At 50.7% G+C, this 13587-nt stretch overlaps 1 protein-coding gene across 18 annotated transcripts in view; it reads right to left on the bottom strand.

The window, feature by feature from the left end:
- Positions 1-4109: 4109 nt before the first annotated feature.
- CSF2RA (colony stimulating factor 2 receptor subunit alpha) overlaps positions 4110-13587 on the bottom strand; it is a 56405-nt gene continuing 46927 nt past the window's right edge. For 5 of the 18 annotated variants that reach the window (NM_001379163.1, NM_001379159.1, XM_047442716.1 and 2 more), the window contains one exon: positions 4110-4300. In NM_001379163.1, coding sequence (NP_001366092.1) covers positions 4265-4300 — 36 coding nt within the window. In that variant the 3' untranslated portion in view covers positions 4110-4264. Of the gene's footprint in view, positions 4301-6199; positions 6864-13587 lie in introns of those variants that run through there. The other 13 variants (XM_047442711.1, XM_047442712.1, XM_047442710.1 and 10 more) reach the window with 5 other exon arrangements.

Raw genomic sequence — 13587 nt, 5'->3', positions numbered from 1 at the left:
GTCTCTGCCTCCGTCTCCACGTGGCCTCCTCCTCTCTGTCTGTGTCTCCTTTTCTGTCTCTTAGAAACACACCTGTCATTGCATTTAGGGCCACCCCCCTCCAGAACGATCTCATCTCAAGATCCTTTACTTAACAACATCTACAAAGACCTCTTTGCCATGAAAGAGGGGTCCCAGCATATCCAGCCTGCATTTGCCTGGGATGAATTAAACCAGGAGTAGTCAGTCGGGCACGGAGGCTCAGGCCTGTAATCCCAGCACTTTGGGAGGCTGAGGCGGGTGGATTGACTGAGCTCAGGAGTTCAAGACCAGCCTGGGCAACATGGCGAAACCCTGTCTCTACTAAAATACAAAAAATGAGCCAGGCATGGTGGGGCGCGCCTCTGATCCCAGCTACTCAGGAAGCTGAGACAGGAGAATCGCTTGAACCCGGGAGGCGGAGGTTGCAGTGATCCGAGATCGCGCCACTGCACTCCAGCCTGGGAGACAGAGTGAGACTCTGTTTCAAAAAAAAAAAAAAAAGAAAAAGAAATCTCAGAGACTCAGCCCCACTCCGGGTGACAGAGTGAGACTCCATCTCAAAAAAAAAAGAAATCTCAGAGACTCAGCCCCACTCTGGGTGACAGAGCAAGACTCCATCTCAAAAAAAAAATTGGAAATCTCAGAGACTCAGCCCTACTCTGGGTGACAGAGCGAGACTCCATCTCAAAAAAAAAAAAAATAGAAATCTCAGAGACTCAGCCCCACTCTGGGTGACAGAGCGACACTCCATCTCAAAAAAAAAAAATAAAAAATAGAAATCTCAGAGACTCAGCCCCACTCTGGGTGACAGAGTGAGACTCCATCTCAAAAAAAAAACAAAAAACAAACAAATGTCAAAGACAGCCCCACTCTGGGTGACACAGCGAGACTCCATCTCAAAAAGAAAAAAAAAAAAATAGAAATCTCAGAGACTCAGCCCCACTCTGGGTGACAGAGTGAGACTCCATCTCAAAAAAAAAAAAAAAAAAAAAAACAAATCTCAAAGACTCAGCCCCACTCTGGGTGACACAGTGAGACTCCATCTCAAAAAAAAAAAAAAAAAAAAAAGAAATCTCAGAAACTCAGCCCCCCTTCCCCAGGGATCCCAGGAGTGAGGGGGCTGCAAAGCCTGTGACCGGATGTGTTTTCGCTGGGAAAGTTCGCCAGGAAAGCCCCTCGTCTCAGGGGAATTCCACGGGCAATACTGGGGTCACGGAAACCACTCCTGCCTGGGTTGGACGGTAAAGGCTGCCTGGAGCCAGGAACTAGCCCCACAGGTGCCTGCAAGGACCCTCCTGGGGATGGTGTTGCTGAGACCTTCCGTGACCAGTGGGTCTCTCAGACCACGTGCCCACTCTTTGCTCTTGCCCTGGCTTCTAAGAGGGTGGACGTGCAGGTCTGTCCCGGGGAAATGAGGGATCCTCCAGCCCCCCACCCTCCACCCACCGTGAGGCTGACTCCTGGTTCCCGGCTTCTGCAATGTGGCTGGTTCTGCTACTGCTCAGAGCCCCCCAGGGCAGGGGCCACGGTCTCCGGCAGTTGCAAGACCGACCCACTTCTGTCTGAACGTGAGATACCATCCCCTGGGTTACTGTTAAAAGGGGTCGTGGGGATGAGGGGCTCCAACTGTGCTCATATTTATTTATTTATCTATTTTTTGAGATGGAGCCTCACTCTGTCACCCAGGCTGGAGGGCAGTGGCGTGATCTTGGCTCACTGCAAGCTCTGCCTCCCGGGTTCAAGCGATTCTCCCGCCTCAGCCTCCTGAGTAGCTGGGATGACAGGTGCACACCACCACGCCCAGCTAATTTTTGTATTTTTAGTAGAGACGGGGTTTCACCATGTTGGTCAGGCTGGTCTCGAACTCCTGAACTTGTGATCCGCCTACCTCTGCCTCCCTAAGTGGTGGGATTACAGGCATGAGCCACTGCGCCCAGCCATGCATTGTACCATAGATCTCTTGAATCTATCTATCCTGCAAAACCACCTCCCGGGTTCAAACGATTCTCCTGCCTCGGCCTCCTGAGTAGCTGGGATGACAGGTGCACACCACCACGCCCGGCTAATTTTTGTATTTTTAGTAGAGACGGGGTTTCACCATGTTGGTCTGGCTGGTCTCAAACTCCTGATCTCTGGGGATCCGCCCACCTCGGCCTCACAAAGTGCTGGGATTTCAGGCGTGAGCCACAGTGCCTCGCCTGATATTTTTGTTATTTATTTATTTATCTATTTTTATTTATGTTTTTTTGAGATGGAGTTTTGCTCTTGTTGCCCAGGCTGGAGTGCAGCGGCTCTATGTAGGCTCACCTCAACCTCCACCTTCCTGGTTCAAGCGATTCTCCTGCCTCAGCCTCCTGAGTAGCTGGGATTACAGGCACCCGCCACCACGCCCGGCTAACTATTGTATTTTTAGTAGAGATGGGATGTCACCCTGTTGGCCAGGCTGGTCTCGAACTCCTGACCTCAGGGGATCCACCCGCCTCGGCCTCACGAAGTGCTGGGATTACAGGCGTGAGCCACTGCAACCGGCCTGATATCTTTATTTTTTAAAATTATTATTTTATTTTACTTTATTTTTTTTGAGATGGAGTTTCACTCTTGTTGCCCAGGCTGGAGTGTAGTGGCATGATCTCGGCTCACCTCAACCTCCGCCTCCCGAGTTCAAGCGATTCTCCTGCCTCAGCTTCCCGAGTAGCTGGGATGACAGGTGCGCGCCAACACACCCGGCTAATTTTTGTATTTTTAGTAGAGATGGGGTTTCACCCAGTTGGCCAGGCTGGTCTCGAACTCCTGACCTCAGGTGATCCGCCCGCCTCGGCCTCCCAAAGTGCTGGGATGACAGGTGTGAGCCACTGTGCCCGGTCTGATATCTTTTTTTAAAAAATTTAATTTAATTTAATTTAATTTTATTATTTTTGAGATGGAGTTTCACTCTTGTCACCCAGGCTGGAGTGCAATGGCACGATCTCAGCTCACCTCAACCTCTGCCTCCCAGGTTCAAGCGATTCTCCTGCCTCAGCCTCCCATGTAGCTGGGATTGCAGGCCACCATGCCCAACTAATTTTTATTATTATTATTCTTTTTAGTAGAGACGGGGTTTCGCCATGTTGGCCAGGCTGTTCTCGAACTCCTGACCTCAGGTGATCCGCCCGCCTCGGCCTCCCAAAGTGCTGGGGTGACAGGCGTGAGCCACCGCGCCCGGCCTGATATTTTTTCTATAACTCCATCCTGCTCACTCAGAAGTTTCTCCACAGCTGAGCTCATCCGTAGAGCCACAGCCAGAGTGTCCCAGAGAAACCTTGTTTTGTGATCAGAGGTTCTGAAAACCAAAGCTACCGTCACCGACGGTAATGTGGGCACCGCCTGAGTCACTCAGGGGCTATCGCAGGTGGCACCTTGACTGGTTGGCTGGGGACACGGGGCTTATCTTGGTCACCGGCTCCTGGGGGGCAGGTGGTCACAGAGAGAGCAAATCATCTCTCTTTCACTGGGCAAGTGTCAACTCAGTCTGTCAACACAAAGGAAATCTTTCGAAAGATGCTGGCTGTCAGCACCTGTTCATCGCTCCCCCTGCCTGAACCCAAAGACGTGGATGAAGTTTTGAAATTAAAATCTGTCCGATCAGGAGCCACGGCCTCTTAGGACATGTGTTATTTCTTCATTGTTTTGACCCAAGGTCGGGGTCAGGGTGTTTCTAATTCCCGCGGGAATCTCCTGGCTGGTGTGTGTCTTCAGCACCCACCGCAGGCATTTTTACTTTTCCTTCATAGCACATTTGAGGCATCTGGCCTGGCGAGATTCCCCTGCCTCGCCTTCCCCTCCGCTCCCCTTCCCTCTCCTCCCCACCTCCCTCTCTCCCCTCCCCTCCTCCCCCCCTCCTTCCCGCCTCCCCTCCCCTCTCCTCCTTCCTCCCTCCCCTCCCCTCTCCTTTCCTTTCCTTTCCTTTTTTTATTTGGAGACAGAGTCCGCAGGCTGGAGTGCAGTGGTGCAATCTTGGCTCACTGCAACCTCCATCTCCTGGGTTCAAGCAATTCTCCTGCCTCAGCCTCCCCAGTAGGTGGAACTACAGGTGCCCGCCACCACGCCCGGCTAATTTTTTTGTGTATTTTAGTAGAGACGGGGGTTTCAACACGTTGGCCAGGCTGGTCTCGATCTCCCGACCTCTTGATCCGCCCGTCTCGGCCTCCCAAAGTGCTGGGATGACAGGCGTGAGCCACGGCGCAAAGTATGTTTTGTTTTCAACTCAGGACGGGGCACCAGGTACACCTCTCTGGAAAACCTTTAAAAGAAGAGAGAACCTGGTGTCGGTGGCCAGTTTGGGGCACAGACAGCTGAGTTGTGACCTGAGGGAGGAGGCGGAGAAACCCAACCGTCCTGTGATCGCTGAGTACCCAGTTCTTGGACACAGGGCTCTGACAAGGAGGTCAGACTTTCCTGCCTTTCTTTCCCTCAGGGGTCCTCAGAGTCTGCACCTCCGGGTGAGGACAGCAAAGGGCTTCATGGGTGTAAGCTGCTGACAGCTTTCCCTGCGTGCGTCCACATCTTGCGTGGTCCCGACTCAGACAGGCCTTTGTTAGGTGGCAACGAGAGTGCTTCTTGGTCATGCCCAAGCGGCCCTGCTGGGCAAAAGCAACCTCTCCATCCACAGTGGGGCCAAAGCACTTATGTCCTTTTTCTTTTTTCTTTCTTTCCTTTCTTGCTTTTCTTTCTCTCTTTCTCTTTCTTTCTTTCCTTCCTTCCTTCTTTTCTTTCCTTTCTTTCCCTTCCTCCCTCCCTCCCTCCCTTCCTTCTTTCCCTCCTCCTTCCCTCCCCTCCCTCCCTCCCTGCTTGCTTGCTTGCCCTTTCTCTTTCTTTTTCTTTCTTTTTTCTCTCTCTCTTCTTTCTTTTTCTTTCCTTTCTTTTCCTTTTTCCTTCCTTCCTTCTTTCTTTCTCTTTCTTTCCTTTCTCTTTTTCCTTCCTTCCTTCCTTCCTTTTTCTTAGAGACAGGATCTTGCTATGTGGCCCAGGCTGGCCTCTAACTCCTGACCTCAAGTGATCCTCCAGCCTCTACCTCCCAAAGTGCTGGGATTACAGGCGTGAATCACCCCTCCTGGCCTCTGTTTTGTTTTTGTTTTTGTTTTTAAAGGCAGAGTTACACTCTGTCACCCAGGCTGGAGTGCAGCGGCGTGATCTTAGCTTACTGCAACCTCCACCTCACAGACTCAAGTGATCCTCCCACCTCAGCCTCCCCAGTAGCTAGGGCAACAGGAACATGCTACCATGTCCAGCTAAATTTTTGCATTTTTTTTTTTTTGAGACGGAGTCTCACACCATTGTCCAGGCTGGAATGCAGTGGGGTGATCTTGGCTCACCACAACCTCGGCCTCCCGGGTTCACGCCATTCTCCTGCCTCAGCCTCCCGAGTAGCTGGGACTACAGGCGCCCACCACCACGCCCGGCTAATTTTTTGTATTTTTATTAGAGACGGGGTTTCACCGTGTTAGCCAGGATGGTTTCGATCTCCTGACCTCATGATCTGCCCGCCTCTGCCTCCCAAAGTGCTGGGATTACAGGCGTGAGCCACTGCGCCCAGCCTGCATTTTTTTTAAGAGATGGGGGTCTCACTATGTTGCCCAGGCTAGCCTCAAACTGCTGGATTCAAGAGATCTTGCTGCCTCAGCCTCCCAAAGTGCTGGGATTGTAGGTGTGAGCCACCACACCCAGCCCAGACAGCTTCTAAAGCTCTTCCCACTTCTCGAGGTGCGGTCCATGGAAGCATCACTAGCACCACCTGAGAGCTGCTGGGAGGTCCTTGTGGCCACCACCCAGATGTGAGAATCCGGTCGCCTGAAGGTGGGGGACATTGCTGCCCTCTAGTGACTGACGACATGCTCCTCTCTGCAGCCATCCCTGCCAGTCCCGACTAGTAACTATGGACGTTTAATAACAGGAACTGGGGCCAGGTGCGGTGGCTCACCCTGAGACGGGGTTTCACCATGTTGGCCAGGCCGGTCTTGAACTCCCGACCTCAGGTGATCCGCCCGCCTCGGCCTCCCAAAGTGCTGAAATTACAGGCGTGAGCCACCGCTCCCGGTTCATCTTCAGATTCTTTACTTCATTACATCTGCAAAGACCATTTTATATTTTATTTTATTTTATTTTATTTTATAATTGTAATGTATTGTATTGTATTTTTTTTGAGACGGAATCTCGCTCTGTCGCTCAGGCTGGAGTGCGGTGGCGCGATCTCGGCTCACTGCAACCTCCACCTCCCGGGTTCACGCCATTCTCCTGCCTCAGCCTCCCGAGTAGCTGGGACCACAGGCGCCCGCCACCACGCCCGGCTAATTTTTTGTATTTTTAGTAGAGATGAGGTTTCACCGTGTCAGCCAGGATGGTCTCGATCTCCTGACCTCGTGATCTGCCTGTCTTGGCCTCCCAAAGTGCTGGGATTACAGGCGTGAGCCACCGCGCCCGGCCAATCTTCAGATTCTTTCCTTCATCACATCTGCAAAGACCTTATTTTGAAATAATGTCCCATTCTGAGGTTAACGTGGACATAAATGTTAAGGGTCACTGTTCAACGCACTACAATTTTTGACCTGAAAATCTCTCAGTGGGCAGCTTTGGAGGAAGGACGTCGCTCTGTCCATTGTGTGATTGTTGAGTAGCTGAGCCAGGGGCGTTCAGGAGAACCGTGGCTCCTCCGAGAGCTGCCGCGTGACCACAAAGGGTTCAGTGGGGCCCCACAGCTAAACAGTTCCATGAAATGAGCACTGAACTTGGAGGTGACTCATGGCCCAATCACAGGATGTCATTGAGAAAGAAAAAGATACTTACAGGGTCTTTCTCTGGAGAGCTACCTTTCAAAAAAAAAAAAAAAAAAAACAAACACACACAGTTAAGATGGTAAGTGGGCCAGGTGTGCTGACTGATGCCTGTAATCCCAGCACTTTGGGAGGCTGAGGTGGACGGATCACGAGGTCAGGAGATCGAGAGCATCCTGGCTAACACGGTGAAAGTCCGTCTCTACTAAAAATACAAAAAAAAAAAAAATAGCCGGGTGACGTGGCGGGCACCTGTCGTCCCAGCTACTCGGGAGGCTGAGACAGGAGAATCACTTGAACCTGGGAGGTGGAGGTTGCGTTGACCAGAGATTGCGCCATTGCACTCCAGCCTGGGTAACAGAGTGAGACACTGTCTCAAAAATAAATAAATAAATAAATAATAGGATGTTATTATATTGCCCAGGCTGGTCCTGAAATCCTGGGATCAAGCAATGCTCCTGCCTCAGCCTCCAAAAGTTCTGGGATTACAGGCATGAGCCACCATGCCGGGGTAATTTTGTATTTTTAGTGGAAAAGGGGTTTCACCACGTTGGTCAGGCTGGTCTCGAACTCCCGACCTCATGATGCGATCCACCCACACCTCGGCCTCCCAAAGTGATGCAATTTACAGGCATGAGCCACCGCACCCGGCTGATACTTGGGGCAAGTTTGTGGCCATTCAGAGGCATCATAAGCAGTGTGGCAAAAAAATCTGAGTTGCCTGATGTGGACGTTCTCAGCTACGCTGAAGAAGCGGGGTTCTGCCTTTTTGTGACAGTGCCTACAATACACAATGGTCTTCTTTTTGCAGTCCGTTTAGCTCCACGTTGCTCGCATTTTAAGATTTCGCTTGGTGATGGTCACTGTTTAAGTTAACCCCCAAGCGTGTACTGAAATGCTGTCTGCGTTTCTTTTTTTTTTTTTTTGAGATGGAGTCTCGCTCTGTCCCCCAGGCTGGAGTGCAGTGGCACGACCTCAGCCAACCGCAACCTCTGCCTCCTGGGTTTTTATTTTATTTATTTATTTATTTTTGAGATGGAGTCTCACTCTGTCACCCAGGCTGGAGTGCAGTGGCACGATCTCGGCTCACTGCAAGCTCCGCCTCCCGGGTTCACGCCATTCACCTGCCTCAGCCTCCCGAGTAGCTGGGACTACAGGAGCTTGCCACGTCGCCCGGCTAATTTTTTGTATTTTTAGTGGAGAAAGGGTTTCATTGTGTTAGCCAGGATGGTCTCGATCTCCTGACCTCGTGATCCACCCGCCTCGGCCTCCCAAAGTGTTGGGATGACAGGCGTGAGCCACCGTGCCCGGCCTCTGTCTGCACTTCTTAAAAGGGACTAGAATGGGTCAATCCAAAATATGCCAAGTTGGGGCTGAGCCTATAATCTCAGCACTTTGGGAGGCCGAGGAGGGTGGGTCACCTGTGGTCAGGAGTTCAAGACCAGCCTGACTGACATGGTGAAACCCCATGTCTGCTAAGAAAAATTACAAAAATTAGCTAGACGTGGTGGCGTCTGCCTGTAATCCCAGCTCCTTGGGAGGCTGAGGCACGAGAGTCACTTGAACCTGGGAGGTGGAGGTTGCAGTGAGCTGAGATCGCGCCACTGTACTCGAACTTGGGTGACAGAGTGAGACTCTGTCTCAAAACAAACAAACAAAAAAAAACAGAGATCATAAGGTTGACAAAACAGGCTGGGTGCAGTGGCTCATGCCTGTAATCCCAGCACTTTGGGAGGCTGAGGCGGGCGGATCACAAGGTCAGGGGATCGAGACCATCCTGGCCAACATGGCGAAACCCCGTCTCTACTAAAATACAAAAAAAAAAAAAAAAAAAAATTAGCTGGGCATGATGGTGGGCGCCTGTAGTCCCAGCTACTCAGGAGGCTGAGGCAGGGGAATCGCTTGAACCCTGGAGGCAGAGGTTGCAGTGAGCCAAGACCACGCCATGGCACTCCGGCCTGGGTGACAGAGTAACACTCCGTCTCGGAAAAAAAAAAAAAAGCCACATTGGCATATAAATTCTTCTGAACTGAGGCATTTGAGAATCAACAGATCTAGAAAGAAACTTCTTGGAGCTTCCCTTTTCTGACTAAAAGCAAAAACCTCTGAAAAATGATGAGTGTTGTAAATTCTCTCTCTGGGGAAGTTTTGTGACCACAAAGAAGACAGCATTAGCCGGGTGCAATGGCTCACGCCTGTCATTCCAGCATTTTGGGAGGCCGAGGCGGGTGGATCACCTGAGGTCAGGAGTTCGAGACCAGCCTGACCAACATGCTGAAACTCCATCTCTAATAAAAATACAAACAGGCCGGGCGCAGTGGCTCATGCCTGTAATCCCAGCACTTTGGGAGGCCGAGGCAGGTGGATGACGAGGTCAGGAGATCGAGACCATCCTGGCTAACATGGTGAAATCCCGTCTGTACTAAAAATGCAAAAAATTAGCCAGGCGTGGTGGCGGGCACCTGTAGTCCCAGCTACTCGGAAGGCTGAGGCAAGAGAATGGCGTGAACCCAGGAGGCAGAGCTTGCAGTGAGCCGAGATCGTGCCACTGCACTCTGGCCTGGGGGACAGAGCGAGACTCCATCTCAAAACAAACAAACAAACAAACAAACAAACAAATTAGCCAGGCGTGGTGGCACGTGCCTGTAATCCCAGCTACTCGGGAGGGTGAGGTAGGAGAATCGCTTGAACCTGGGAGGCAGAGGTTGCAATGAGCCAAGATTTTGCCCCTGCACTCCAGCCTGGGCGACAGAGTGAGACTCTGTCTAAAAAAAAAAAAAAAAAAACAGCAAAGGCGTGAAGAATGGCTGTAATTCCAGAACTTTGGGAGGCTGAGGCAGGAGGATCACTGGAGCCTAGCAGTCAAGACCAGTCTGGGTAACATAGTGAGATTCCATCTCTACAAAAAACTTGGGCTAGGCATGGTGGCTCATGCCTGTAGACCCATCACTTTGGGAGGCCGAGGAGGGTGGATCGCTTGAGGCCAGAAGTTGGAGACCAGCCTGGGCAACATAGTGAGACCCCGTCTGTACTAAAAATACAAAAATTAGCCGGGTGTGGTGACGTTCAGCTGTGGTCCCAGCTACTTCAGGAGACTGAGAGAGGAGGATCGCTAAGCCGGGGAGTCTGAGGCTACAGTGAGCCATGATCGTGCACTCCAGCCTGGGCAAAGGAGCAAGATGCTGTCTCAAAAATTTAAAAAGGAGGCCGGGCATGGTGGCTCATGTCTACAATCCCAGCACTTTGGGAGGCCGAGCCGGGTGGATCACCTGAGGCCAGGAGTTCAACACCAGCCTGGCCAACATGGTGAAACCCTGTCTTTACTAAAAATACAAAAATTAGCCAGGCGTGGTGGCGGGCACCTGTAATCCCAGCTACTAGGGAGGCTGAGGCAGGAGAATCGCTTGAACCCGGGAGGCGGAGGTTGTAGTGAGCCGAGATCATGCCACTGTACTCCAGCCTGGGTGACAGACCAAGACTCAGTCTCAAAAAATAAATAAAATAAAATAAAATAAAATAAATAAAGGATCATCATCACCAGGGGGCGAAAGGAAGCTTTGCAATTTTCTTTCTTTTTTTTTTTTGAGATGGAGTCTTGCTCTGTAACCCAGGCTGGAGTGCAGTGGCACGATCTCGGCTCACTGCAAGCTCCGCCTCCCGGGTTCACACCATTCTCCTGCCTCAGCCTCCCGAGTAGCTGGGATTACAGGTGCCCGCCACCATGCCAGGCTCATTTTTTGTACTTTTAGTAGAGATGGGGTTTCACCGTGTTAGCCAGGAGGGTCTCGATCTCCTGACCTTGTGATCTGCCTGCCTCGGCCTCCCAAAGTGTTGGGATTACAGGCGTGAGCCACCGCGCCCGGTCAGCTTTGCAATTGTCTTCCCAGACATCTGCAAACCTCTCCAAAGTCTTTTCTATCCTTTCTCTCAGGAGGGGCTATCGGCGGCTCAGGGGGAGTGGGGCAAAGTCCAACGGCCTGGGGGTAAGAGGAGAAGGTGCAACCACCCTTTGGCCAGTGGAGACAAAAGTTCAGCTTCGGCCTGGCGCAGTGGCTCACGCCTGTAATCCCAGCACTTTGGGAGGCCGAGGTGGGCGGATCACGTGAGGTAGAAAGTTCAAGACCAGCCTGGCCAACATGGTGAAACCCCGTCTCTATTAAAAATACAAAATTAGCTGGGTGTGGTGGCGTATGCCTGTAATCCCAGCTACTTGGGAGGCTGAGGCAGGAGAATCACTTGAACCCGGGAAGCAGAGGTAGCAGTGAGCCAAGATCACGCCATTGCACTCCAACCTGGGCAACTAGAATGAAACTCTGTCTCAAAAAAAAAAGTTAAAAAAAAAAAATTAGCCGGGCGTGGTGGCGGGTGCCTGTAGTCCCAGCTACTCGGGAGGCTGAGACAGGAGAATCGCTTGAACCCGGGAAGTGGAGGTTGCAGTGAGCCGAGATCGCTCCACTGCACTCCAGCCTGGGTGACACAGTGAGACTCTGTCTCACAAAAAAAAGAAAAAAAAAGAAAAGAAAAAAATTAGCCAGTCATGGTTGTGCATGCCTGTCATCCAAGCTACTAAGGAGGCCGAGGTGGGAGGATTGTTTAAGCCTGGGATGTTGAGGCTGCCGTGAGCCAAGAGTCGCCACTGCACTCCAGCCTGGGCAAAGGATCTTCCTAGCAATCTCTTACTTTCCCTCAATAGAATTCCTCTTTTCCCACTCCAGGAGAGAAGATCCAAGCCCCATTAGAATTTCTCTTCTTCCTCTTCTTCCACTCCAAAAGCTTGTACCTCCCTGGGAGCGTGGGTCTTCATTCTGAAGGCTTCTGTGCGTGCACGTTACAGAAATTTGCACGTTACAGAAATGGTGACCTGAGATGATACCATTGCACTCCAGCCTGGGTGACAAGAGCAAGACTCCGTCTCAAAAAAAAAAAATAAAATAAAATAAAAATAAAAAAAGCTGGGCGTGGTGGCTCACGCCTGCAACCCCAGGACTTTGGGAGGCCGAGGCGGGCAGATCACCTGAGGTCAGGAGTTCGAGACCAGCCTGACTGATGTGGAGAAAGCCCGTCTCTACTAAAAATACACAATTAGCCGGGCGTGGTGGTGCATGCCTGTCATCCCAGCTACTCGGGAGGCTGAGGCGGGAGAATCGCTGGAACCCGGGAGGCGGAGGTTGTGGTGACCTGAGATTGTACCACTGCACTCCAGCCTGGGCGACAAGAACAAGACTCTGTCTCAAAAAAAAAAAAAAAAAAAAAAGCTGAGCGTGGTGGCTCACGCCTGTCATCCCAGCACTTTGGGAGGCCGAGGCAGGCAGATCATAAGGTCAGGAGTTCGAGACCATCCTGGCTAACATGGTGAAACCTCGTCTCTACTAAAAATGCAAAAAAAATTAGCCGGGCATGGTGGTGGGCACCTGTAGTCCCAGCTACTCGGGAGGCTGAGGCAGGAGAATGGCGTGAACCCGGGAAGCGGAGCTTGCAGTGAGCCGAGATCGCGCCACTGCACTCCAGCCTGGGCGACAGAGTGAGAGTCCGTCTCAATAAAAAAAGAAAGAAAGAAAATATGCATGTCTTGTTTCTTAGTAATCTATCTAGTTCATTGTTAGTGATTATTCAGCAAACCGTTAGGGGGGCAAGCGTGTTGGCCCCACGCCCTCAACGCCTCTGTGTCTGGGGCGTCGGCTGCTGGTTTTGTGTCCACACAGGAAGACAGAATTAGGGAACTTGCTCCCCACGGCATGACTCAACAGGATGAGAGACGCAGGCACGGATGTAGGAGGTGGTGGTGCTGTTGATCTCATTCAGGAGAACCCAGGCGTTGGGGAGCCCCATGACGCCGGTGTTCCCTCCCGCGTGGATGGGCAGGGGCTGAACGTGAGTCTCCATGGCTCTTCCCGGGCCAAGCCCATCTCCAGGACATACCTTTCTCCTGTCGCTTGTTAGACGCTGTGCACTGAAGACCTAGCCTTACCCAAAGGGAAGTCTTGCCTTGGGTCTTGGCTGGAGGGTGGTGATACCTCAGGTCCTGGAATGGCCCCTGGTAGTATCTTTGCTGGCCTGGGGGCTTTGGATGGTTCACCGTCTAACAATGTGATTTAAGGTGAGGGTCTTGGAACAAGTGAGATCAGTTCCAACTTCCAGGAGGGAGCCTGAGAAATAGCAGATAGATCCCAACTACCTCTCTGTCTGTCTGTCTGTCTATCTATCTATCTATCTATCTATCTATCTATCTATCTATCTATCATCTATCTAATCTATCATCTGTCATCTATCATCTATCTATCTACCTATGTATCTATGTATCTGTCTATGTGTCTATCTATCCATCTGTCTAGCTCTTCTATCATCTATCTAATCTATCATCTATCTATGTATCTGTCTATGTATCTATGTATCTATGTGTCTATCTATCCATTTATCTATTCTATCTATCTATCTATCTATTGATCTATCTATCTGTCTATTGGTCTATCTATGTATCTATCTATATATCTATCTATCTGTCTATCCATCTATCATCTATTTTCTATCAATCATCTATTTATCTATCATCTATCATTTATTATCTATCATCCATCTATCATCAATCTATCCATCATCTATTATCCATCTAGAGTCTATCTATCTGTCATCTATCCATTCATCCATCTATCTATCCATCTATTTATCCATTCATCTATCTAATCTATCTATCTATCTATCTATCTATCTATCTATCTATCTATCTATCTATTATCTATTTTATCTATTTTCTATCTATCTA

This window comes from Homo sapiens, chromosome Y (genome assembly GCF_000001405.40).
Source record: "Homo sapiens chromosome Y, GRCh38.p14 Primary Assembly".
NCBI lineage: Eukaryota > Metazoa > Chordata > Mammalia > Primates > Hominidae > Homo > Homo sapiens.
Note: the sequence above shows the minus strand (reverse complement) of the source record. Positions and strands in the feature narration are given on the sequence as shown.